Genomic DNA, 24,927 nt, shown 5'->3' on the forward strand with positions numbered 1-24,927 from the left:
ATGAAATTTAAAAAAATCCTAAATTTAAAGATACTTTTTGATTCAGCCTGTTGAAAGGGTATATACTAGTTCAAGGAAAATTGACCTAAAATGGTCAATCTGAAGATATATCGTAGCAAAATTACTAAGCTAACAATTTTTTTATATTAATTTTAATTTTTTTAATTTTACTTTAAGTTCTGGGATACATGTGCGGAAGGTGCAGGTTTGTTACATAGGTATACACGTGTCATGGTGGTTTGTTGCACCTATCAACCCATCATTTAGGTTTTAAGCCCCACATGCCTTATTTGTCCTAATGCTCTTCCTCCCCTTGCCCTTCACCCGCCAACAGGCCTTGATGTGTCATGTTCCCCTCCCTGCGTCCATGTGTTCTTACAGTTCAACTCCCACTTATGAGCAAAAACATGCAGTGTTTGGTTTTCTGTTCCTGTACGCTATCAATTGCTTTTTTTTTTTTTTTTTTTGAGATGGAGTCTTGCTCTGTCACCCAGGCTGGAGTGCAATGGTGCGATCTCAGCTCACCGTAACCTCTGCCTCCCAGGTTCAAGCGATTCTCCTGCCTCAGCCTCCCTAGTAGCTGGGATTACAGGCGCGTGCCACCACACTCAGCTAATTTTGTATTTTTAGAAGAGACAGGGTTTCTCCATGTTGGTCAGGCTGGTCTCGAACTCCCTACCTCAGGTGATCCACCCACCTCGGCCTCCCAAAGTGCTGGGATTACAGGCGTGAGCCACTGCGCCCAGCCTCTCAAGCTAACAATTTTATATCTACCCAAGTTGTCCTTCAAGGCCTTGAAGTAAATTTTGAAAACATTTTGAGCACTTAAGAACTTGAGGAATAGAATGCCCATGAGCCCTTATTGAGGAAATTATTGAAGGATAAACTTCATTAACAAAGAGTGACTAAGGAAACAATAGCAAAGAACTTACAGTGAGAATTAAGTTCATTTAACAATAAAACCAAGACAAATTAATTAGCTAATTAATTTCAAAATTGTGTACATGTATACAGGGTTTACTTTCTACCACTCTACTGTAGAAAGCAAACCTCGTATACATGGTCACAATTTTGAAATTAATTAGCTAATTAATTGGGAGAGTAAGGGGGAGAAAAAGGAAGATTGTCTCATCTGTAATATCTGAAAGTCACAAGATATTATTGTGAGTTGGTAGTTAAATACTAGAAGTAAAAGAAAATGAATAAATACTAATAAATATAATTGTATTGACTCATAATGGGGACAAAGGCAAAAAAGGATAGCAAAGAAGAAAACATTCTGATATTATCTCATAGGATTACGTCATAGAAACTAATGGTATCTAAAGAAATAAGGGTAAATCGAAAAATAAAAATATAGGCCTTCCTGAATATAAAAAAACTACATAAAATATAAACAAATTACATTAAAAGTACTTTAAAAAACTCTCATCAGATAACATAGCATAAACAATAAGGCCAGATATATCTACCATATCCATAAGTGTAAATGAGTTTAACTCACTTCTGCAAAAAATTTTATTGGAGAATAAATAAAAATTTAGTTTTGTTCTATATGCAGGAGACACATATAAAACTTTCAGAAGAGTTAAAATTAAAGTAGATCTTGGCCAGGTGTGATGGCTCATGTCTGTAATCCCAACATGTTGGGAGGCTGAGTAAAGGAGGATTACTTGAGGCCAGGAGTTTGAGAACAGCCTGGTCCACATAGCGAGACCCCATCTCTACAAAAATAAAAAAAATTAGGTGGATGTGGTGGTGTGCATTTGTAGTCCTAGCTACTCAGGAGGCTGAGGCAGGAGAATCATTTAAGCCCAGGAGCTCAAGGCTCTGATAAGCTATGATTGTACCACTGCACTCCAGACTGGGTGAAAGAGAGAGATCCTGTCTCTAAAAATACAAAATACAGTAGTTCTTGAATTGTAAATATCAGATAAGGTAAAATTCAGAATAAAAAGCATTTTATAACAAATGTTTTTATAATGCCAAAGCAGAAAATTGACAATGAAGATATAAAAGTCATGAAAATCTATGCACCAGTCAAAATAGCAGTCATACTCATAAGGCAGAAATGATAGAAATTACAAGGAGAAATGGACAAAAATACATCAGTATAGAAGATGAATGTCTTAAAAGACCTAAACATTATTAAAATAAATCCAGCTGATGCATGTTGAACTTTGTTCCTGAAAATAAAAAATACACCTTGTTTTCAAATGCCCACGGAGTAAGTAATGAAAATTAGTCATCTTTTAGATCATAGATTACTCCTCAAATAGTATATTTGATCACAATCAAATAACTTTGTGATCACAATCAAGTAAAACTTTAATGAGAAAATAAAAAGGTCCTTTCATCTGATAACTTAAAAATTCTTAAGCAACTTGGGGCATGGGTCAAAAAGAGCTATAAGCTTAAATTGCAGAATTTCTAAAAATAATAATAGGGAAAATACTATAAAACTCAGCTAAATAAAAAGATTATAGCCCTAAATATTTATATTACTTAACAAAGAAGAATAAAAATGAATGACTTATGCTAGCAACCGAAAATGTTTGAAAAAGGAAATCAAAATAAACTGAAGGAAATAAGGAAGTAGTAATAAAGATAAAATATTAATGAATTAAAAATAGAAAAATAAAATGGATAAATCCAAAACCAGATTATTTGAGGTGGAAAAACAATAGAGTACACAAACTAGCTGGCTTAATAAAGAAAAAAACACAAAAAAAGTGTAACTACACAAATTAATAAATGACAGTAAGGAAGTAACCCATGAAGGAGGACATTCACAGAATTCTGAGACTACTCTGCTCAACTCTATGCAAATAAATGAAAAACCTAGATGAAATGAATAAATTACCATAAAAAGATAGAAAATGTAAACAAACCAATTTCTAAGAAGAAATAACAGTTGTCAAGAAGTGATCTTCTTTGAAAAATTACCAGGCCCAGACAATTTTATAGGAATTTCTGCATAACCTTTAAAAAAATGACTCCAATGCTATTGGAACTATTCCAAGTATGGAGAAAAACTAAAATTCTAAGTCAATTTTTTTCATAAGTTTGCAAGACCCACACACAAAAATATTAAAACACAAAGGAAGGACACATATAAAACAATTGAAATAATGGAAAGACATATCATGTGCTTGATTAGGATTCAAATCAGTTTCCTCTATGTTAATTTGCTAATTTAATATGGTCTCAGTGAAAATACAACAGATTTATTTTACCTAGACAAGTTGTTCCTAAATTTCACATAGAAAAATTAGAAAGAATAAAACATAATGACTCTTAAAAAAGGAAATGAATTTTTAGTGAGGTAGAACTAACCTTACGAAGTATTAAAATATTACAAGGCCTTCAGACAACCAAATAGGTTAAGAATCAAAATTTCAGAAATAGAGCCAAATATATAGTATAAATTAGTATATGATAAATGAGACATCTGAAAGCTGTTGAGAAAAAAGCTAATCAAAAAGTGGTGTTGAAAAAACTGTTGTGCATTCTGAAAAATACTTTAAAAAGATACTTAACACCCTTTGAGAGGCATAATTCCAAGATGATCCCCAAGATTCCTGCCTCCTAGTGTACATGGCCTCTACAATCCCTTCTACTGGATTATAAGCAGGATTTATGAATATGTGTCACTCTTGTAGTTAGATTATGTTACTGGGAAAAAGTAGAGATTTAACAGATGTGATAAAGGTCTCTAATCAGCTGACTTTAAATTAATCAAAAGGGAAATTTTCTTGAGTGAGCCTGACCTAATCAGGTGAGCCCTCTAATGAAAAGTTTCAATGTCAGAGATTCTCCTACTGGCCTCAAAGAAGCAAACATCCAGATGTAAGGGGATCACATAGCCAGTAACTGTGGGGGTCTCTCAGAATTATAATACTTCTTGGCAGAGAGCCTGCAAGAAAGAGGGTCCTGTAATCATAAGAAGTGAATTTTACCCACAACCATGTAGGCTTGGAAGAGAACTCCAGACTCCAGAAGGGATCACAGCCTGGTCAATATGTGATTTCAGCCTGTGAGACCCTGAGCAGAGGACCCGTCTAAGCCATGCCTGGCCTCCTGACCTACAGAAACTGAAGGGTCATAAATATAAGTGGTATTAAGTCACCCAGTTGTAGTAGTTTGCTACACAGTAATAAATAAATGCAAGTCAAAACCTGAGTTCCAAAAAAAATGAGAGAATTAAATGTAAAGGTTGAAACCACTAAATAGGACAGCACATTAATAAATATATGTAGGATGTCAATAGCTTATTCAATAATGTAGCCAGGCACAGTGACTTGCACCTGTAGTCTCTGTTACCAGGGAGGCTGAAGCAGGAGGATTGCTTGAGCCCAGGAGCTTGAGGTTGCAGTGAGCTGTGATCATGCCAGCCTGGGTGACAGAGTGAGACCTGGACTTAAAAAAAAAAAAAGAGAGAGAGAGAGAGAATACCATGGGGGAACATTTTTTATGGGATATAGTTAAAGCTATAAAGCTATATTTTTAAATGAATAATGTACAACACGACTAAAATGTTGGGAGGGGGGAAACAAAAAATAAACAGAAAGCAGGAAGAATTAATTAATAAATCTATAATTGAATATGTTAAAAACAATAAAATAGACAAAAACAGAAATAGAATTGATACGCGAAAATCTTTAAAAGGCTAGTAAGACAAACATCAGACAAATCTGACCAATGAGAAAAGAGAAATATACATCACAGAGAAAAATTTTTAAATAATGATAGAATTCTAAGTACAACTAACCATTTATTAAAGATAATGAGAAAAGTAATCCCATTCAAAACAGCAATAGAAACATATAAATTACCTAGCAGTAAGCTTAACAAGAATAGAAAGAAAGAACAACTTTTTAATATAACCTCTAAAAAGACTTGAAAAATCAGAGACATGCTGTGCTCTTGAATGCGAAGATTGCATATTATAAATATGCAATTCTAGGCTGGGTGTCTCTAAAAAAGTTTTAAACATTAGCCGGATATGGTGGCATGTACCTATAATCCCAGCACTTCAGAGGTTGAGGCAGGGGGATTGCTTGACCTCAGCTCAGGAATTTGAGGCTGCAGTGAGCCATGATTTCACCACTACACTACAGCTTGGACATCAGTGTGAGATCCCTGTCTCAAAAAAATATTGCAATTCTATAATTTAATCTATATATTTCATACAAGTCCAATAAAAATTCCATTTGAAGTTGAAAATCTAGATTAAGAAATTTTTTAAAAGGTCATGAAAACTTACCCTACCAGAGACTAGATAAATAGAAGTATAGTAATACTAATATTAACAAGATTAATAATGATGCTCACCATGTGGCAGGAATCATGTTAAGTATTTCACAACTATTTTATTTTTGGCACGCTCTTTGAGGTAAATACTATTATTATTCCACTTTTACAGCTGAAGCAATTTGGCATCAAAAACAGTAGACTTCATTGAGGCCATCCTTTTAACCACCGTCAATATAGCCTTAAGGTGACATTGTTGGCAAAAGTTTAGACTAGTGAATAGCTGATGTTGGGGCAATTGATATATTATTTGGAAGAGAATAAAGTTGGATCCTTCCCATCGGAGTGAAGCAATTTCCAGAGGGATTAAATGGAAACAATTTACATTAAAATAAGCCAGAGAACAATAGATATAATTATGTATAATTCATATGATCTCTGGGAAGGAAAAAATTTTCTAAGCACAACACTGAAGAGAGGAACATAAAAATTTAAACTTCTATATAGGAGTAAAAAAATCAGCAAACAAATACTAAAGCTTATTAATAAATTTAAAGTATCAATGACAAAATGGTAAAAAAAAATTGGCAATGTGTTAGGCAAAGGTAATATCTTAATGTATAAAGCGCCTTTCAAATCAATAAGTAAAGGGCAAAGACCTCAGTTTTGTAAACTTGGGTGCTCCTTAGGGACAACTCAGTAAGACCATGAGGGGGGTTAATGTTGACAACTTGGTATAGAAGTATAGAGAACTACTGTGAAATACAAGGAGGTTTCTTGGTTGGAAGGAGGTTTAAAATTATGTTGAGAAGCTCCAGGGAGTATAATTACTCCTTTAATTAGTCATTCAATAAATGTTTATCTCGTCTGTACTCTCTACTGGGTGCCAGGGGCACAGTGGGGAGCAAGACATGGAGCATATCTTCCTGTTGTGAAAGAATGTAGATTAAGGAGAGCAAGGCAGAGTGAGACAGGGAAGAGCTATCCCAAGAATTAAAACAAGGTGGGGGGACTGCTTGAGAATGATTGGCCATGGAAGACCCCTGTGCAGTAAAATTTAAGCTGAATCCGATTGACAAGAAGCCTGATGATGCTGTGGCAAGAAGTTATTGTACATGAGAGTGGAAACAAGGTGACCAGGTGGGAAGGTCTGGCAGTAGTCTAGGTAAGAGATGATAGTGTTCGGACTAAGGTGGTAATAATGGAGACAGAAGTCACCATACTTGGAGCACGTTTTGGACTAGGTAGATCAACAAGATTTGTTGATTTGGAGGCTAAGGGAATGAAAGGAATCAGGGATGTCAATATTTTTTATGCTACAAATTGGGTCTGGGTTGATGGTGGTGCTATTTACTCAGATGGAAAAAGTTAAAGGGAAGCAGATAGTTTACGATGGAGGGTAAGTGGGTAGAATGTGAGAATCATGAATTATGTTCTACCATGGTAGGTTTGAGATTTCAAAGACATTAAGAGAAATGTCCAATAGGCAGAAGTGAGTGGATGGACTTGGAGACACAGAGATTTGTGTGCCATTTTCATATAGATAGCATGAAGGGAAAAAAAGGACATAAATGTATTTATTACCACTAAGCTGTACACTTAAAAATGATTAAGATGGTAAATTATACGTATGTATTTTATCTCAATCAAAAAATAGATTTAAAAAAATCCTAGGGGCTGGGTGTGGAGCCTCACACCTGTAATCCCAGCACTTTGGGAGGCCGAGGTGGGTGGATCACATGAGGCCAGGTGTTCAAGACCAGCCATGGCCAACATGGCGAAACCCTGTCTCTACTAAGAATACAAAAATTACAGGAGGTGTGGTGGTGCACACCTGTTGTCCCAGCTACTGAGGAAGCTGAGGCTCGAGAATCACTTGAATCTGGGAGGTGGAGGTTGCAGTGAGCCAAGATCGTGCCAATGCACTCCAGCCTGGGCAACAGAGTAAGACCCTTTCTCAAAAGTAAAATAAAATAATAATAAATAAATAAAATAATTTTTAAAAATCCTAGGATCTAGATAGGACTCTCTACGGCAAGAGTGTAAGTAGAAAAGGGAAGGATGTCCAGGAAATAATCTTAGAGTACTCCAACATTTAGAGCAGCTGAAAACAGGAGACAGCCAGAAGCCTAAGAAGAACTGGCCAGTGAATGAGGAGTAATGCAAGAGGGTGTGGTGTCATAGAAATCAAGAGAAGAGTTTCAAAGAGGACAACGTGGCCAACTGGAAGATAAAGTGGTCAACTGCTTTGGATGCTGCTGAGAGGTTAAGTAAGAGGTCAAAGTGATGATTAGCTTTGGCAACCTGAAGCTATTGGTGATCTCGGTGAGGACAGTTTTCGGGTCATAGAGGGGGCAAACACTAGCCCTAAGTTTACTTCCTCTCAGTTTTGTCATCATGAAGGAAGGAAACTTCAGCTACTGGAGCAGGTTTCCATAGGCTTACCTTGAGTCACCTGCCCATTCCCAGATTCATAGTAACATAAATAGCTCACTTTAGACTGAATCCTTCTACCTGTATCCATTGCTGTGTCCAGGAAAGTCAATTCATGGAGTAGGAGTCTATAACCAGGAAACCTCCCCTGTGCCCGTGTTTGTCTGCAAAATGGTATACAAACATTTTTCTATTCTTAAAATAAGTCAGGGGGAGCAAACATTTTGTAAAAATTATCTGGATCCAAGGTCAAGGCTTAATCTCAGCCTTACTTATATGGTACAAATATTCTGCAAGTGACAAACCAAAATGTATTAAGTACTTAACATTCTTGACTCATCATGTCTTTGTAAGAATGGTGTTTCTTTTATTATCTTTAATCTACAGTCAAGTTAATTTGATTTAATGATCATATTGTAAGCTTATCTAATTCTTATTTTCGGTATCATCCTTTAATATATTGTGAACCATGTGTTTAACTAAGTGTAGAGAATTGTAAAATGAAGATAATAGGGTAATTAATTTGAGCACAATAAGTACAAGTTAGTCTTAACAGTACTATAGTGTACACAAGTATTTCTCTGAATTATTTCTGAAAGTATAGTTAGATTTATCCCATTTAATCATAACATATTTAACCTGCTTTTAAGTGAGTTAAGACCACTAACTTTTTCAATTTTGTTTTAGAAGTTAGAAGTTAGGTAGATTTGTTTTAAAAGTCAAGAAAGTGAAATAGAAATGATTATATTAGTCAGTCTATATGAAATGTCACTCTTCATATTTATACTCTAAAAATGTTAATTCTGTTTTACCAATGAATTGTAATTCCACTTAGCAACACTCCTTTCCATTTTTAGTTTCTAAGAGAAGATATGTTTAAGTAATTACTAATAAATTGCTCTAAAGTGAACACAATTTTTGGAACTTTTATTACTTATATTTACAAAAACTCAAAGTAAATGTGTCGAAGAGTTTCTTTTAAATGTTTCACTGTCCATCTATTGGGCTCAAGAACCTGAGAGTTGGGGGAAGGAGGGAAGGAAGGGACATAGCGAAATAAACTATCGGTATTATTTTATTCTTTTATAAAACCATGTGATGGAAAAAGAGTTCTGATTCCACATGGGCACTGTGCTGACGGTTGTATTGACATTACGGCCATAGTGACGATCAATTATTCTTATATTGCGGACCGGATTGAGAAAAGTCTACTTGCCTTTTATCAGCTAAAGAATAAAATCACTAATCAGGCAAATCACCATGGCCGTTCTAGTTGTTTGGGAAAGTCCTAATGACTTCGTCCTTTCCCACTGATGTAGGTGCAGGTGCAGGATTCCTCCTCACCTACAGGTTCCCTTCTACCATGCACTCCATTGCATCAGGGCTTTTCTCCATGCTCTGCTTCCAGAAACAATCTCTTATCCTTCATGGCCTCATGGCAGACCCATGAATTTCCATCCTGCTCTTGCTCTCTGCTTACCTTATGGCCCTGGATCAACTCACCTGGGACTCAGACCTTGATTGACACCCCAGCCTAGGTCAATAAACATTTGTTTAATCCAATTTAATTTTAATAACAAGTTTCTACTTCCAATATAATTATTTAATGTTTACACATTTACTTGCTGATATAACTAGTTTTGTTTATTTTCTCCTCTTGTTATAACAGCATTGGATTTTGTGGTTAAACCTCTTGCTTATAGTAAAACCTTTATTTATTGTGTTACATTAGCTCTAGATGTTGCTATTATCTATGCATTTGTTCTCTTATTTACAATATTCAAAAACTGAAAACACAGCATTTATATTAGTTTTCTATCGCTACTGTAAAAAAATCACCACAAATTTAGAGACGTAACACAACACAAATGTGTTATTTTATAGTTCTGGTGGTCAGAAGTCTGCAATGGGTCTCACAGGGCTAAAATCAAGGTGTTGGCAAGACTTCATTCCTTCTGGAGGCTCTAATGAGAATATGCTGCATGCCTTTTCCAGCTTCTAGAAGTTGCTTGTATTCCTTGGCTCTTGGGCTGCATCGCTCTTCCCTCTGCTTCTGTCCTTACATCTCCTTCTCTGACTATCCATCCTTTCTATCATAAGGACCCTTCTGATTACATCAGGTCCACCTAGATAATCCAGGAGACTCATCTCAAGATTCTCACTTTAATCACAACTGCAAAATCCCTTTGCCATGTAAGGTTGCATATTCACAGTTTCTGGGGCTTAGACGTAGACAACTTTGGAAGGACTATTATTCAGCCTACCACAACATTCCTTACTGTTATATCAGACAAGCAAGGAAATATATAAAGTTGAGACCAGACTTTAAAAATGTTAATTAAACCTTAATATTAAAAGACTGAAGTTGTGTGGAAGAAAAGTTATTAAACCAGGTGGTAATATTATGTGAAATCAAAAGTTAACATTAGGTAATTAACCACAATCAAATTTAAGAGAAAATATAAACGGCATATTGTTTGAAGCCAACATCTATCTAATCTAGTAAATACCTAGGGATGATTTGTTTAATACTTTAGCTTTTTATAGCATCAAACTAGATACTTAGTGATATGGTTTGGCTCTGTGTCCCCACCCAAATCTCATGTTGAATTGTAATTCCCAATATTGGGGGAGGGACCTGGTGGGAGGTGATTGGATCATGGGGGCAGATTTCTCCCTTGCTGTTCTCATGATACTGAGTGAGTTCTAAGGAGATCTGGTTATTTAAAAGCATATAGTACTTTCCCCTTCACTCTCTCTCTCTCTCTCTCCTGCCACCATGTGAAGATGTGCTTGCCTCCCCTTTGCCCTTCTCCCATGATTGTAAGTTTCCTGAGGCCTCCCCAACCGTGCCTCCTGTACAGCCTGTGGAACTGTGAGTCAATTAAACCTCTTTATAAGTTACCCAGTCCCAGGTTATTCTTTACAACAGTGTGTGAATGAACAAATACACTTAGCCCTTGTCATTTCATTTTTTAGTCATTTGTTTTTGTAAATAATACATGGAAAACAAAAAATTAGAACTTACAAGTATGTACAGTGATTTTATATACATATATATACACTGATTATACATATATGTACAATGATTTTATATATATAAAACTATATATATAACTATATATATAACTAGATATATATAACTAGATATATATATAACTATATATATAATTAGATATATAACTATATATATAATTAGATATATATATAACTATATATATATTTATATATATATATATATATATTTCTCAATCCCTCTGTCTTCTAGTTGCTCAAGTTCATTCAGATGCAACAGGTCACCAATTTTCTCTTCAACAGTTTTTGTTTATTTTTCCAGAAATTACTTGATCATTTTAGAAGTGTCTCTCCAGAATCATTGAGGCATTCAAAAGTTAATCTATACATACTTTTTTATTTATAAAACTGCCTTAATATGAGTTAGATATCCATTAGAAATAATTTCTGGCCAGGCGCTGTGGCTCACACCTGTGGTACCAGCACTTTGGAAGGCTGAGGTGGGTGGATCATGAGGTGAGGCGATCAAGACCATCCTGGCTAATATGGTAAAACCCCATCTCTACTAAAAATACAAAAAATTAGCCGGGCATGGTGGCACACACCTGTAGTCCCAGCTACTTGTGAGGCTGAGGCAGGAGAATCGTTCGAACCCAGGAGGCGGGTGAGCCAAGATCGTGCCAATACACTCCAGCCTGGGCAACAGAGTGAGACTCTGTCTCAAAAAAAAAAAAAAAGAATTTCTATTGACACTGGAGACCTTTATTTCCCCGCAATTTTTGGTGCTTACTATCTCATAAAGTATGCACTGCCTGAGAATCTACAGTAAGTACTTTAGTATCAATATTTAGGTCCTTGATCATGCTTTAAATTTTATCTTTAATTATCTCCCCAAAAAGACCAGCTGTCGTGGACATCAAAGCAATGGCTCTGGAGGTAATACCTCAGCTCAAAGTTTGGCTCTTCCAGCTTCAAGTTGTTTGGCTTTGAGCAAGTTAGTTTACCTACCTCTTTTTTTCACATTGTTGAGGAGTAAAATGGGCAAAATAATAGTACCTACCTCCTAGGGTTGTTAGGAGAGTTAACTACTGCATAAAGTAGCTGGTATTTACTAAGTATTTAATAAACAATTATATTTGTGCATAACTCCAGTCATTATGTAAGGATTATCCTCTTGTATTTGCTCTACTTAGCTTAGTTGCTAGTGATTACTATTATTCTACATTTAACAAATTCATCCATATGGCAGAAAGATTACTGGCCTGCAATTCTCAGTGTTACCACTGGGATTATTTTATGGACAGTAACAACTAATGTTCATTAGTGTTTATTGTCAACTAGGCTCTGTGCTAGTGTGCTTTAGTTGCATTGTTTTTTGAGCTTTACAAAAACCTTTGAAGTAGGTCATGTTATTGTCATCATCCTCATTTCAAGGGTGGGAACCTAAACATTAGAGAGGTTGAATAACTTGTCCAGCTAGTTAGGAACAAAGCCAGGATCTGAACCCAGGCAGACTAAGTCCAGTGTTCATACACTTAATTATTGGGTTATACTACCTCCTGAAGAAAGGGCTTACTCTGGCATTTCTTCAATCATTAGGCCATCAGTTCCTTATTCTTTCATTTTTAAAAAAATAAAAATAAAACATTTATTAAATGTCTATTATATGCCAGCTACTCTCATAGGTAATAGATAGCACTGTGCCTGCCCTCAGGCTGACAGTGGCTAACAGCAACAAGTTAAAGATTCTGAAGAATAGTACCATAACTTAACTAGCACTAACTTGAAGCTGGGACATGCCATTTTTTATATTTGCTATAGCACCAGCTACCTTTCTCTTTCAAAAAAACAATATGGAAATGAGAAGTTCTCTCATATGTTTCTCTGACTGAAGCAAGCAACTCATTTTTTCTCTCTCTAGTCTCCTCTGTCCTTCTTTTACACTGTGATTATTAAGTGCCTATCTAGCAAGATCCATACCTGTTAACATTTTTAAAACTATTAATCTTTTATGTTTTTATTAGTTTTTGTGCTTAAACTTTTTTTTTGAGATAATTATAGAGTTACATACAGTTGTAAGAAATAATATGAGAGGATCCAGGTGCCCTTTACCCAGTTACCCCAATAGTAACATCTTGTAGAACAATAATACAGTATCACAATGAGGATATTGACATTGACAGAATTCACCAATCATATTAAGATTTCCCCAGTTTTCCTGGTGTGTGTGTGTGTGTGTGTGTGTGTGTGTGTGTGTGTGTGTGTGTGTTTGGTTCTTTATATCAGTAATCCCCAACCTTTTTGGCACCAGGGACGGGCTTCGTCAGGGGGATGGGTGAATGGTTTTGGGACGAAACTGTTCTAGCTCAGACTATTAGGCATTAGATTCTCATACTGAGCATGCAACCTAGATTTCTTGTATGTGCAGTTCACAATAGGGTTCACGGTCCTGTGAGAATCCAACGCTGCCACTGATCTGACAGGAGGAAGATGTCAGTTTCGGTTGCTCACCCGCCACTCACTTCCTGTTGTGTGGCCCAGTTCCTAACAGGACACAGACTGGTACTGTTCTGTGGCCCAGAGGTTGGGGACCTCTGTTTTATATCATTGATATTTTAATTCAAGATAAGCCCTTAATTTTTTTCCTCACATAATTTAATTTTCAAATGGCCTTCAGCTTGAGCAATCTTTACATTTTGATTTTATTTTTATTTTTTACTTTTTTTTAGATACAGCATCTTGCTCTGTTGTCCAGGCTGGAGCATAGTAGTACGATCATAGCTCACTGCAGCCTTGAACTCCTGGGCTCAAGCAGTCCTCCCTCCTTAGCCTCCCACATTTTTAGAGAGAATCTCTATCCTTTTCTGTAATAGAACCTTTGATGTTGCCTTATTTATTTATTTATTTATTATTGAGACACTTTCTCTCTTGTCACCCAGGTTGGAGTACAATGGCATGATCTTGGCTCACTGCAATCCCCACTTCCTGGGTTCAAGCAATTCTCCTGCCTCAGCCTCACAGGTAGCTGCATGCCACCACACCTGGCTAATTTTTGTATTTTAAGTAGAGACAGGGATTCACCATGTTGGCCAGGCTGGTCTCAAACTCCTGACCTCAGGTGATCCGCCCACCTCACCCTCCCAAAGTGCTGGGATTATAGTCATGAGCCACTGTGCTGGGCCAATGTTGCCTTTTTTAAAAGACATTTTAATCAACCATGAAGGATCCTTGTCATTTTCGTTCATGCCACACTTTTTTTTTTTTAGCTCCCGGTGAGTAGTTTTTAAATTATCTGCAGAGAGCCTGTGGCTTATTTACTTTAAATTAATTCATGATTATTTTCTTCATAAATGCACTTATCTTATTGTATTGGTAAAATAAGGTAAATGTGCTATAGCATTTTTTTATTTTCCCTTAAGTTTAATTATATTGAGATAGCTCATACATTAATGGTATATGATCAGATTTTCTATAGATAGGACTTCCTATTTTTACTTTCATCCACATCTAATATAATGTATTTCTGTTTTGTGTGCTAAAATTACTTATTCTAAAAACCATAGAATTGAGTAATTTATCCTACATTAAAGCTTATCCTTAAGATGTCATCTGCATTCATTATTGTCAACATGTGTTTTATAGCACTGCAATCTTCCTGCGTTTTCTATGGTTTGTAGCTTGGCCTATATCCCATTGGTTTTTCTCTATCCAGCTTTTGAAATTAAAGCAAAATTATCATCTTCAATTCCAATTAAATGCAATATAATAGTCATATTACTTTGAATTTTAATCATTGCTTTTTGTTTTTAGAATTTATTATTTATTAAGTAGGTAGTCTTAGTTCCACCATCTGATGATATAAAGAGGTACGAACTCCAGATCTCCTGACTCTTTAAACAACTATCTACTGCCACGCAGTTGCTAAGACATGAAGATCATGTAACACAGGGGGGACACCACACAGAAACTACAAATTGATGGCCCATAAACCACATCCAGTTTGCAGATATTTTGCTTAGCCTGGATGGTGTCGGCCAGTTTTTTAAAAAGTTTTAATTAATTGACAGAACCTTAAAAATCAGGAGATTTCACATTAAAAACCCAGATTTCCAATTTCCCTTGAAAAATTGGAATGTTTGGTAGCAATGAGCCAGAGTAGAGGAGCAGCTGCCCAGTTTGGACAGGGCAGGCACTCTAGTTGGCCACAGCCCTACCGCTTTCTCCTGTCTCTGACCCTGAAGGCAAATGGCACTGATCCTTTATCATGGCACTCATGCCATTGTTTACCTTAGAGTTGGCCTGCCTGGCTCAGTCATGTTACCTACCTGATCCTACAGGCATTATGTTATTCAGGCCTGATGCCTGGACTTTGGTCAGAACTCCTATCTGGTTTTCTGCTTGGTGCTGTCGTTCAACACAAGATCAGGAGACTTTCTTCAAATTACACCAGAGACAAGTTGGAGGCTTGCTCCTTGGCTTCCTTCAGGAGGCTTGCACCACTCTCCCTGGCACCCTGGAATTTCACCTCTGAAGCTAGGTAGAGAAAAAGAGAGACTTCTCTGTAAGGACTGGAGAAGAGCTTTCATTGTCTTCTTTCCCTGGTGTCACCCAGCTGTCCATTTAAACCTTCCAAATTTAAGGCATTCCCAATAAGAATTCTGCTGGTAAACAGCCTTCTGTTTGCTCTCAGATATCCCAGTATTCCAAAGAACTACACTGTTTAAGTTGTAGTAGGGTGGAGTTCCCCTATGGGAAATACCCCCAGGCTCTGCCTTGATGTATAGTCACATGGAGGGGATGAGAATGAAGAAAATCAGTCCAGTGGCTTAGGAAGGAAAGAGGCTGATGTTCTTATTATAATTCTATTAACTATATCTTTGCAATTTCCACTAAAATGTCCTTCCCTAATACAAAGACCTAAATCTGGTGTTCTTTGGACTCCATTTTGTCCTTGACTCTTTCACTAGTTGGAGTGAGTAGGGGTAGGGAAGAGCTTTGGTCTCCCATAGAGGTCAGATGCCACTAGCACTTTAGGGTATTAAAATTTCAGAGTGTCAATTGCTGTTCTCCACATCACACTGCTTGTGTATGCACGACTTTAAAACCTTAGGTTTTTGGCCCATTAAATACAGCAAACTTTGATTTTTGAACTGTCCTCAGGGTTTTGAGAATCATTTGTTAGTCTCACTATTTTGATACCCACCAGGGAAAATAACCAACCTGCTATGGAACAGGATCGTTAACTGAAGCAGCCACTATGAGAAGGAAAGTGCATAATGTTATAAATGAAGTCACTGCCATGAAATAATACAGATGTATTCTTTTCAGTGAATTCTGTGCAAACACCCAGTCAAGCTGAGACTTCCCTGATTATGTATAGGGAATATGTTCAGAAAATCACCAGCTGGGTTTTTCAGTGGTTTAAAAGCTGCTGTGCTGTAGCATTCCAGAATAAAATAAGTAAATACCACCTGCCAACCAGTAAAGTTTTTTGATGCAACATCCCTTTACTTCAAAGCTTATAATGAAATTGATTTTCAGTGCTTTCTCATTTCAATTTGCAAGCCCCATGAATAACTACTCTAAAATAATTTCAACTTAGAAATGTTCAGGAACTGGTGAGAAATTGATAGTGACTGTTTTATGCTTAGGTAAAAGATAATGAATAAAAATGCAAAGGAAGAACTCGCTGTGTTTAGATGAGAAGAACTATATGATAAGGAGGCAAGAAGTCAGAAATAATTTTCCATGATAAAGAGAGTAATTTAAAACTTTCTTTAATTTTTAGTAGGACTGAACCCTCAAACAAATGATGTTTCACTGCCTGGAGAATTGGCAGAGGCTGTAAATCAGATTCTAATGTGTTTGTTCCTGCAATGCCATCCATTGATTATGGGCATTTGATGCTAAACATTTTGATGAGCTTTTTTTTTTAATTCAGCAAATCATCTAGATATTTGGAAACTCTGGGATGACAGACACAAATTTTTACTTTGCATTCATATAGATATAATTTTGTTGATATTTATTTTGAAGGAATGTGTGGATCCATATTTTATGTGTCCTCAAGTTTATACAATTTGGGAGGGGTGGCACTTCTTTAAGAAATAGAATACAAAATTACGCACAAATATTTGGCAAGAAAGTGAGTATTTACTTAGAAATATAGTGAAAAGCACAACAAATTATAAATCTCAAAAAGCTAAAAAATACCACAAAGATCGTAATATCCAGAAATTTAACAAAATGCTTTTAAATGATGAACTTTCTGATATGTCTCTATAAAAATTTTTTCCTTACACTTTTTATCCTCAAACTCACTGATTGTCTCTTCATATGACAATAATTTCAGAATATAATTTTTTATCCAGGGAATAGAAAAATAATTCAGGCTTCTCCCTAGCATCGTTGATGTAAACTTGGTTCTCCTTTTGAAAGTTTAGAAAAGTTTCAGCTTCACAACTCCTTCTTGATAAGGTTGATGTACAATTTTAATATTGTTGCTAAATTTGAGAAACTATCTCTATAAAATTTCTTTCATATATGAGCTGATAGGAGATCAAAAAATTTGTAATTGAGGCCTTTGTATTAAGATGTTCGGTGGTTCCGTACAGTGTGGTGTTAGAAGATTGCTGGAAGCCATTCCTACATTGGAACAGCCAGCATTTAAAACTATGTAAGACGTTGGGAGGCCGAGGGGGGCAGATCACCTGAGGTCAGGAAATCGAGACCAGCCTGGCCAACATGGCAAAACCCCGTCTCTACTAAAAGTACAAAAATTAGCTGGGTGTGGTGGTGGGAGCCTCTAATCCCAGCTACTCGGGAGGCTGAGGCAGGAGAATTGCTTGAACCCGGGAGGCAGAGGTTGCAGTGAGCCAAGATCGGGCCACTGCACTCCAGCCTGTGTGACAAGAGCAAGACTCTGTCTCAAAAAGACAAAAAATAAAACAAAACAAAAAAAACTATGTAAGAAAAGTACCACTGACTTTCTTCACAGAATTGGAAAACACTACTTTAAACTTCATATGGAACCAAAAAAAGAGCCTACATAGCCAAGACAATCCTGGGCAAGAATAAAAAAGCTGGTGGCATCACGCTAACTGACTTCAAACTATACTACAAGGCCATAGTATCCAAAACAGCATGGTACTGATACCAAAACAGATACATAGACTGATGGAACAGAATAGAGCCCTCAGAAATAACACCACACATCTACAACCATCTGATCTTTGACAAACCTGACACAAACAAGCAATGGGGAAAAGATTCTCTATTTAATAAATGGTGTTGGGAAAACTGGCTAGCCATATGCAGAAAAGTGAAACTGGACCCCTTCCTTACACCTTATACAAAAATCTGAAACTGGACTCCTTCCTTACACCTTATACAAAAATCAACTCAAGATGGATCAAAGACTTAAATGTAAGACCTAGGACTATAAAAATCCTAGAAGAAAACCTGAGCAATAACATTCAGGATGTAGGCATGGGCAAAGGCTTCATGTCTAAAACACCAAAAGCAATGGCAACAAAAGCCAAAACTGACAAATGGGATCTAATTAAACTGAAGAGCTTCTGCACAGCAAAAGAAACTATAAATCAGAGTGAACAGGCAACCTACAGAATGGGAGAAAATTTTTGCAATCTATCCATCTGACAAAGGGCTAATATCCAGAATCTACAAAGAACTTAAACAAATTTACAAGAAAAAAACAACCCCATCAAAAGTGGGCAAAGGATATGAACAGACACTTCTCAAAAGAAGACATTTATGCAGCCAACAGACGTATGAAAAAATGCTTATCATCACTGATCATTAGAGTAATGCAAATCAAAACCACAATGAGATACTGTCTCATGCCATTTAGAATGGCGATCATTAAAAAGTCAGGAAACAACAGATGCTGGAGAGGATGTGGAGAAATAGGAAAGCTTTTACACTGTTGGTGGGAGTGTAAATTAGTTCAACCATTGTGAAAGACAGTGTGGTGATTCCTCAAGGATCTAGAACTAGAAATACCATCTGACCCAGCAATCCCATTACTGGTTATATACCCAAAGGATTATAAATCATTCTACTATAAAGACACATGCACACGTATGCTTATTGCAGCACTATTCACAATAGCAAACACTTGGAACCAACCCAAATGTCCATCAATAATAGACTGGATAAAGAAAATGTGGCACATATGCACCATGGAATACTATGCAGCCATAAAAAAGGATGAGTTCATGTCCTTTACAGGGACATGGATGAAGCTGGAAACCATCATTCTCAGCAAACTATCACAAGAACAGAAAACCAAACACCACATGTTCTCACTCTTAAGTGGGAGTTGAACAATGAGAACACATGGACACAGGGAGGGGAACATCACACAGCAGGGCCTGTTGGGGGATGGGGGGCTAGGAGAGGGATAACATTAGGAGAAATACCTAATGTAGCTGACAGGTTGATGGGTGCAGCAAACCACCATGGCATGTGTATACCTATGTAACAAAACTGCACGTTTTGCAGATGTACCCCAGAACTTAAAGTATAATAATAACAAAAAAAGAATAATCCCTAGGCATTTGCGGAAATGCCTTTAATTAAAAAGATGTTTTAATATTTACCTTCAAATTGTGACTCTTCAATATGTCTGACCTAAACAACATGCATATATAGCAATGTGCCCCCACTTTGAAAATTAATATATTTTCTAAATATAACAAAGCACATTTTCTTTCTTTTGTAAGTTTTTCTGTTGGCGATGAAGACCAATAAAGAGGGGGGTGCTATAAAACGTCAAAAAACAAAAAAAAGAAAAGTACCTACAAACCACATTAAATACATGCCACCAAACCCAAACTAAATGTAACCCAACACAGTTCCCCTTAGGCAAATCCAGAAAATGCCTGCACAATGACAATGCAGAGTAGAAAGAGACAGTGGCTTTAGCTAAGTGAGTAAAGTATCCTTCTTTTGCAAATTTTATAAAACAGGCACAGTAAACATGCTTCTGTCTCGAGGAAAAAAAAGAATATGAAGCCAGAGGACTAGATCCAGCATTTTGCTTAATTTTGTTATTCACTGAGCAGTACCCTCTGAACTCTGACTGAGTGCTGGTCTAGCCCCAGCCCAGCAAATTAAGAGCAATTGTTCCCTGAATGTTTGTATCCCATTAAGTGTCTAAATATTTTTCTTCAGATACAAATTTGGTGCCTAATTTCTTTCCTTCTTGTGTTGTACAAATTCTTTACTTTCTTCTGTTCAAACTCTAGACTTTCTGAGACTACCAACTGAGATCTGGTACTTTAAGATTTAACCTTGGAAGTTACCTGACCCTTGTGTAATAGACAGAAATCATTTCTTATGAATATAAGAATGAGAAAATGAAATATGTTTTAAACATAAAACACCATATGAAGAAATGAGAAAAAGAAAATGTGGCATCTTTGTTCAATGGAAGGACAAATATTTTATTTTATAGATTATTAGGGCCGGGCATGGTGGCTCCCAGAACTCTGGGAGGGCAAGGTGGGCGGATCACCTGAGGTTGGAAGTTTGGGGCCAGCCTGCCAAGCACGGTGAAATTCTGTCTCTGCTAAAAATAGAATAAAATTAGCTGGGCATGGTGGCTCATGCTTGTAATCCCAGCTACTTGGGAGGCTAAGGCATGAGAATCCCTTGAACTCGGGAGGCGGAGGTTGCAATGAGACAAAATCACGCCACTGCACTCCAGCCTGGGTGACAGAGAGAGACTCTGTCTCAAAAAAAAAAAAAAATTGTTAAATGTAGGGAGAGCAGATAGATTAATTTATGTCTGGATCGCAATTTTCCTGTACCAGATGATACTTAATCATCTTTAATGTAAGTAAAGCTTTGCCATGTTCAAAGTCCCATGCTCTTTCAAGAAATAATTCAGTTTAACTTATGACTTAAAAAGAAGACTCACTAGCATTGTTGGAATAATTTGGTGAAGTGGTAGTTTCCAGTACAACTTTTATTTGGAGGACACCGAAAGGTCAGCTTGTTCCAAAATATTTCTGTATGTCATGGCAAAAAGGGATATTTTAGTAGAGCATGCCCATCTCCTATTGTGATTATATAAATTATTTAATTATATGAGCTATTTATCATCTTGATTTCTGTAGAGACAAAAAATCTGACAGGTCTGTGGGTCAATAAAATTGAATGGAACACAGACAGCAGAGACAAGACCTTGATGGCAGTAGAATTTTTGATCATAAGATGACACAGTTGGGGCAATGTCACAGAAACCAGCTACTGTGGAAATCTCAATTTTCAATTTTATTTGGTAAACATAAAATATGCCAGTGTTTGTTTTATGCATTAATTTTCTGGAGTTTTTGAAAGGTTTCAGATAGGGAATAAAATAATCAGTATTCTAGCTTTCCTAAATGCTATTTGATTTCTTTTTGAAATGGTAGCATTCCATTTAATTAAACAAGTAGATTGTGGTTAAGGGAATCAGATGAAGTGTGCATATTAAATATACAACTTCTATAATCTAGTGTAAATTTTTTCTCTTCAATTTGAAATACACCAGAGAAGTGCTTGAAATGGTTGTAAGAGAGAAAATCCAATTCAAACAGGCTGAAGAATGTATTGGCCTGTACAACCTAATTTCATCAGGTTTGGCTTGATTCAAGGGCTAAAATAAATCAAGTTATCTTTTTCAACCATGCTATCCACTGTGGGGCATCATTTTAAGGCCTCAAGCAGTGGTTTCTTGTATCTCCAGGCTTGTATCATCCCGGATTTAAACCTATGTAAAAAGGGAACATGTCTCTTACTGGTAACTCCAGCAGAATCTTAGATGCTATTTTTACTGGACCAACTGGGGTCATATTCCCATTCCAAATCAAATTATCCCCTAGGGGAAATTAGTAGTCTGACTGGCCAGGCCTGAGTCATATGCTTCATCCCTGGAACAAGAGATGAAATTGTACCTGAACCACATGGATGCAAGAGTTGCAGAGAAATGGGAACCCAAAAGAAGTTCAAATACAAAACTGCTAGCAAAAGCGGGGTAATGACTTAAGAAAATCATCTGGAACCTACCCTTTGATTAACTTAACATCACTACACATCTTTCTTCATGTAGATAAGCTTCCAAACATGTCTTAATTTGCCACGTAATGACACACTTTCATGTGTACTCATGCCTTCCCGCAAGTGAGACAACTCAGCATTTGGTACAATTACTGCATCTAACTATAAATCTATAATATCTCGGTTATGCATGTGTATTAGTTCATTCTTACACTGCTATAAAGAAATACCTGAGACTGGGTAATTTATAAAGAAAAGAGGTTTAATTGGCTCACGGTTCTGCAGGCTGTACAGGAAGCATGGCAGCATCTGCTTCTAGGGAGGCCTCAGGGAACTTACAGTCATGGGAAGGCAAAGGGGAAGCAGGCTTATCTTATGTGGCCAGAGCAGGAAGAAGACAGAGACGGGGAGGTGCTACATACTTTTAAACAACCAGATTTCACAAAAACTCACTCACTGTCACAAGAACATCACCAGAGGGGAAACCTTCCCCCATGATCCAATCACCTCTCACCAGGCCCCACCTACAACATTGGGGATCACAATTCAACATGAGATTTGGGCAGGGACACAGATCCAAACCATATCAGCATGTTTAGATCTTAATATAATTCTCATGGTCTGAGAACTTATAGATAAATGATAAATCTAATCCCTCCCAATACACTCAAAATGTAATTGTAGATAGAAATAGGCTAATATCAACTTAGAACTCTTTTAGAGAGGAGGATAGAATGGGAAACAACTTTAAGTGGTGACTGACTCAATATTATATATCATGTCCTGCAGATGAGGAACTTTTTGACTGGGTGGTAAAAGAAAATTTTTGGACAGCGAATTTAGCTGCCTCTTTTCTTCCCTCTGGAAAGCTCTCCCAAATCTGGTATCCTCCATAGATAATGAGTAATAGGAAGGAAGCCCCTTGTGGTGGATGTACATCTTTACACCCCACTTCCTGGTACAGAGGAGACAGGAGTGTGAGAGCCAATTGTATACATCCCTTCTCACCTCTGTATCCAGTGAAACATGTTGATAGCTTGAAATGGCCATGAAGGGAGTATTTATACCACAAAATCAGCAACTATGAATCAAATGCTCCCCATAGCCAGTATTACCATTCTACCAGGACATCACTGAGAGGAAGTGAAGGGATTTCTTAGGACTTAGGGGTTTAGTAATTATCAACTTTTGTTTATTAATCTTGGAATTTCTTTGGCAGCGCAGTTTTTAAAAGAATTTAGTTAGCTCTGAGTCTGTAAATTCCATGGGTTAATCACCAACTCTGTTGATGTAAAGTTAGAGTCTTTCAACATAGAAGCTGGGCAGGGGATTTGTACTTCTTAGCAACTACCTTCAGTTCCTTCTTTGTTTGCCTAGACCCCAGTTTCAGGACCTTTATCTCGGCCTTTGTCTCCCAGCACAGTGAACATATGGTCTGCCAGTGAAGAGGCAATGGCTAATTGACTTTTGGCCCCCAAGCTGCAAACCCAGTGAATATTTGCAATTAAAATAATTATCCCCTGTTGCAAGAAGAGAATTTATAACAAGTGATGCTAGGTAGGAGCCAGACCATCAGACTTCTTTTAAGTGCCAGTTTCATCTCATGCTAGGTTTCCCACCTCCTGCTTTGTTTATATTTCTCTAGCTTAGTGCAGATTATTTTATTTGTATAATATTGCAAACCTTCAGATCACTGAACCCTCAGCCATCTTGGATTATAGGGCATTGACAAAGAATGTCTTTCTGAGAATATTTTTAAAATCTTTCAAATGGGTCAATTTCTATGAAGTTGTTCTCTCTCTTGTAGGAAGAAAATCAAGAGACTATGGTATCTGGCAAGTCAAATGAAGAATATGTATCAGAGTGAAAGAAATGCTCAACTGTGTCCATTGTCAAGGCTGATTGGCCACAAAAGGGTAAAGAAAGACTGAGTACTGGATTTGGCAATCTGCAGACCTATGATGACCTTGAGCAGTTTCAAAGGAGTAATGGGGACAAAATGAGATGGGTTTAAGTGAAAATAGAGGAGAGAAATTGGAGAAAGTAAGTAAGTCTTTGACAGGGTTTTGGTGTGAAGAAGAGCTTCCAATATTATTTCTAACCCAATAAGCTTTTGACTGCATGCCCCTCAATATATTACTTTCAAAGAGAAGGGTATTTTTCTACTGGGTCTGTCACATTCCTGTAACTACTCTAATGAGCCTAACTCATTACCACCTTATGGAATCTATAGGTATTACAAAAATGAGTGTTTTTTTTGTTTTGTTTTGTTTTGTTTTTTAAAAAAACCCTTTTACCTTTTTGCTGTTAGTCAATAGTATAACAAGGGTCACAGTCAGGGCCATTTGTTGAGAATTTATGACAGCTAATATATATAGTGACTTGAATTACCCAGGATCCCTGAGTTCTTTTTATTACCTAAAATGATCAAGAAACAGCTTCTGATATATATTTTTAGTTTTATTGTTAATAAAATGAAGATTAAAAAATACAGATACAATACTGCAACATAAATAAAAAATAGACTTAAAAAGTAGTTTGAGGTATAATGAACAAAATTATACACATTCCAGGCATTATTAATCTATTTACATTTTTATCCACTATATTTAATTCCACTTATTAATACTTCCTGGGAAATCTCATTTTACTTTGTTAAAGTTAGAATAATCAATTTTAAAGCTATCATCTGCTGGAAGGTCTAAATTTGAGAATGAATGAATTTATGCAGGCTTTTCTAAGAGCCTTGAATTTTAAAAAGACTTACAGTTTATATATAATAAGGATCAACCTCTCCCCCACCGCTCATTTGTAGATAGAATGTGCATTTGGAGGTAATACTATCCTGGCTATTTGCTTGACATTTCTGAACAGAGCTTAAGTACAGGAAGTAATGAAGAGCAGTGATAATGGAAGGAAATGCTGAACAATATTATTATTCAGCTCAGTTCCTACCTTCTGCCTCCCACATGCTGTTTTTCAGCAGTAGGGGCTATCTTTGGTGGGGTATTTTTGTTTTTTGTTTTTTTGCATTTTGATGTGGGGAGGAGGAAAATATCTCCAGTCCTTAGAAGACAAAGAGGTTGGCATGCTTGGGAGAGACAGGATTCATTTTTGCTGTGTTTCAGGAACACCCTCCAGTCCCCTGACTTCTGACTTTAC

At 36.7% G+C, this 24,927-nt stretch overlaps 1 long non-coding RNA gene across 1 annotated transcript in view; it reads left to right on the top strand.

Annotated features, from left to right (window-relative positions):
• Positions 1-24,099, top strand: part of LOC105370228 (uncharacterized) — a 53,024-nt gene extending 28,925 nt beyond the window's left edge. The window contains exon 3 of the long non-coding RNA XR_942002.3: positions 23,573-24,099. This is a non-coding gene — a long non-coding RNA (uncharacterized LOC105370228). The remainder of the gene's footprint in view (positions 1-23,572) is intronic.
• Positions 24,100-24,927: the final 828 nt, after the last annotated feature.

This window comes from Homo sapiens, chromosome 13, assembly GCF_000001405.40.
Source record: "Homo sapiens chromosome 13, GRCh38.p14 Primary Assembly".
Classification (NCBI taxonomy): Eukaryota; Metazoa; Chordata; class Mammalia; order Primates; family Hominidae; genus Homo; species Homo sapiens.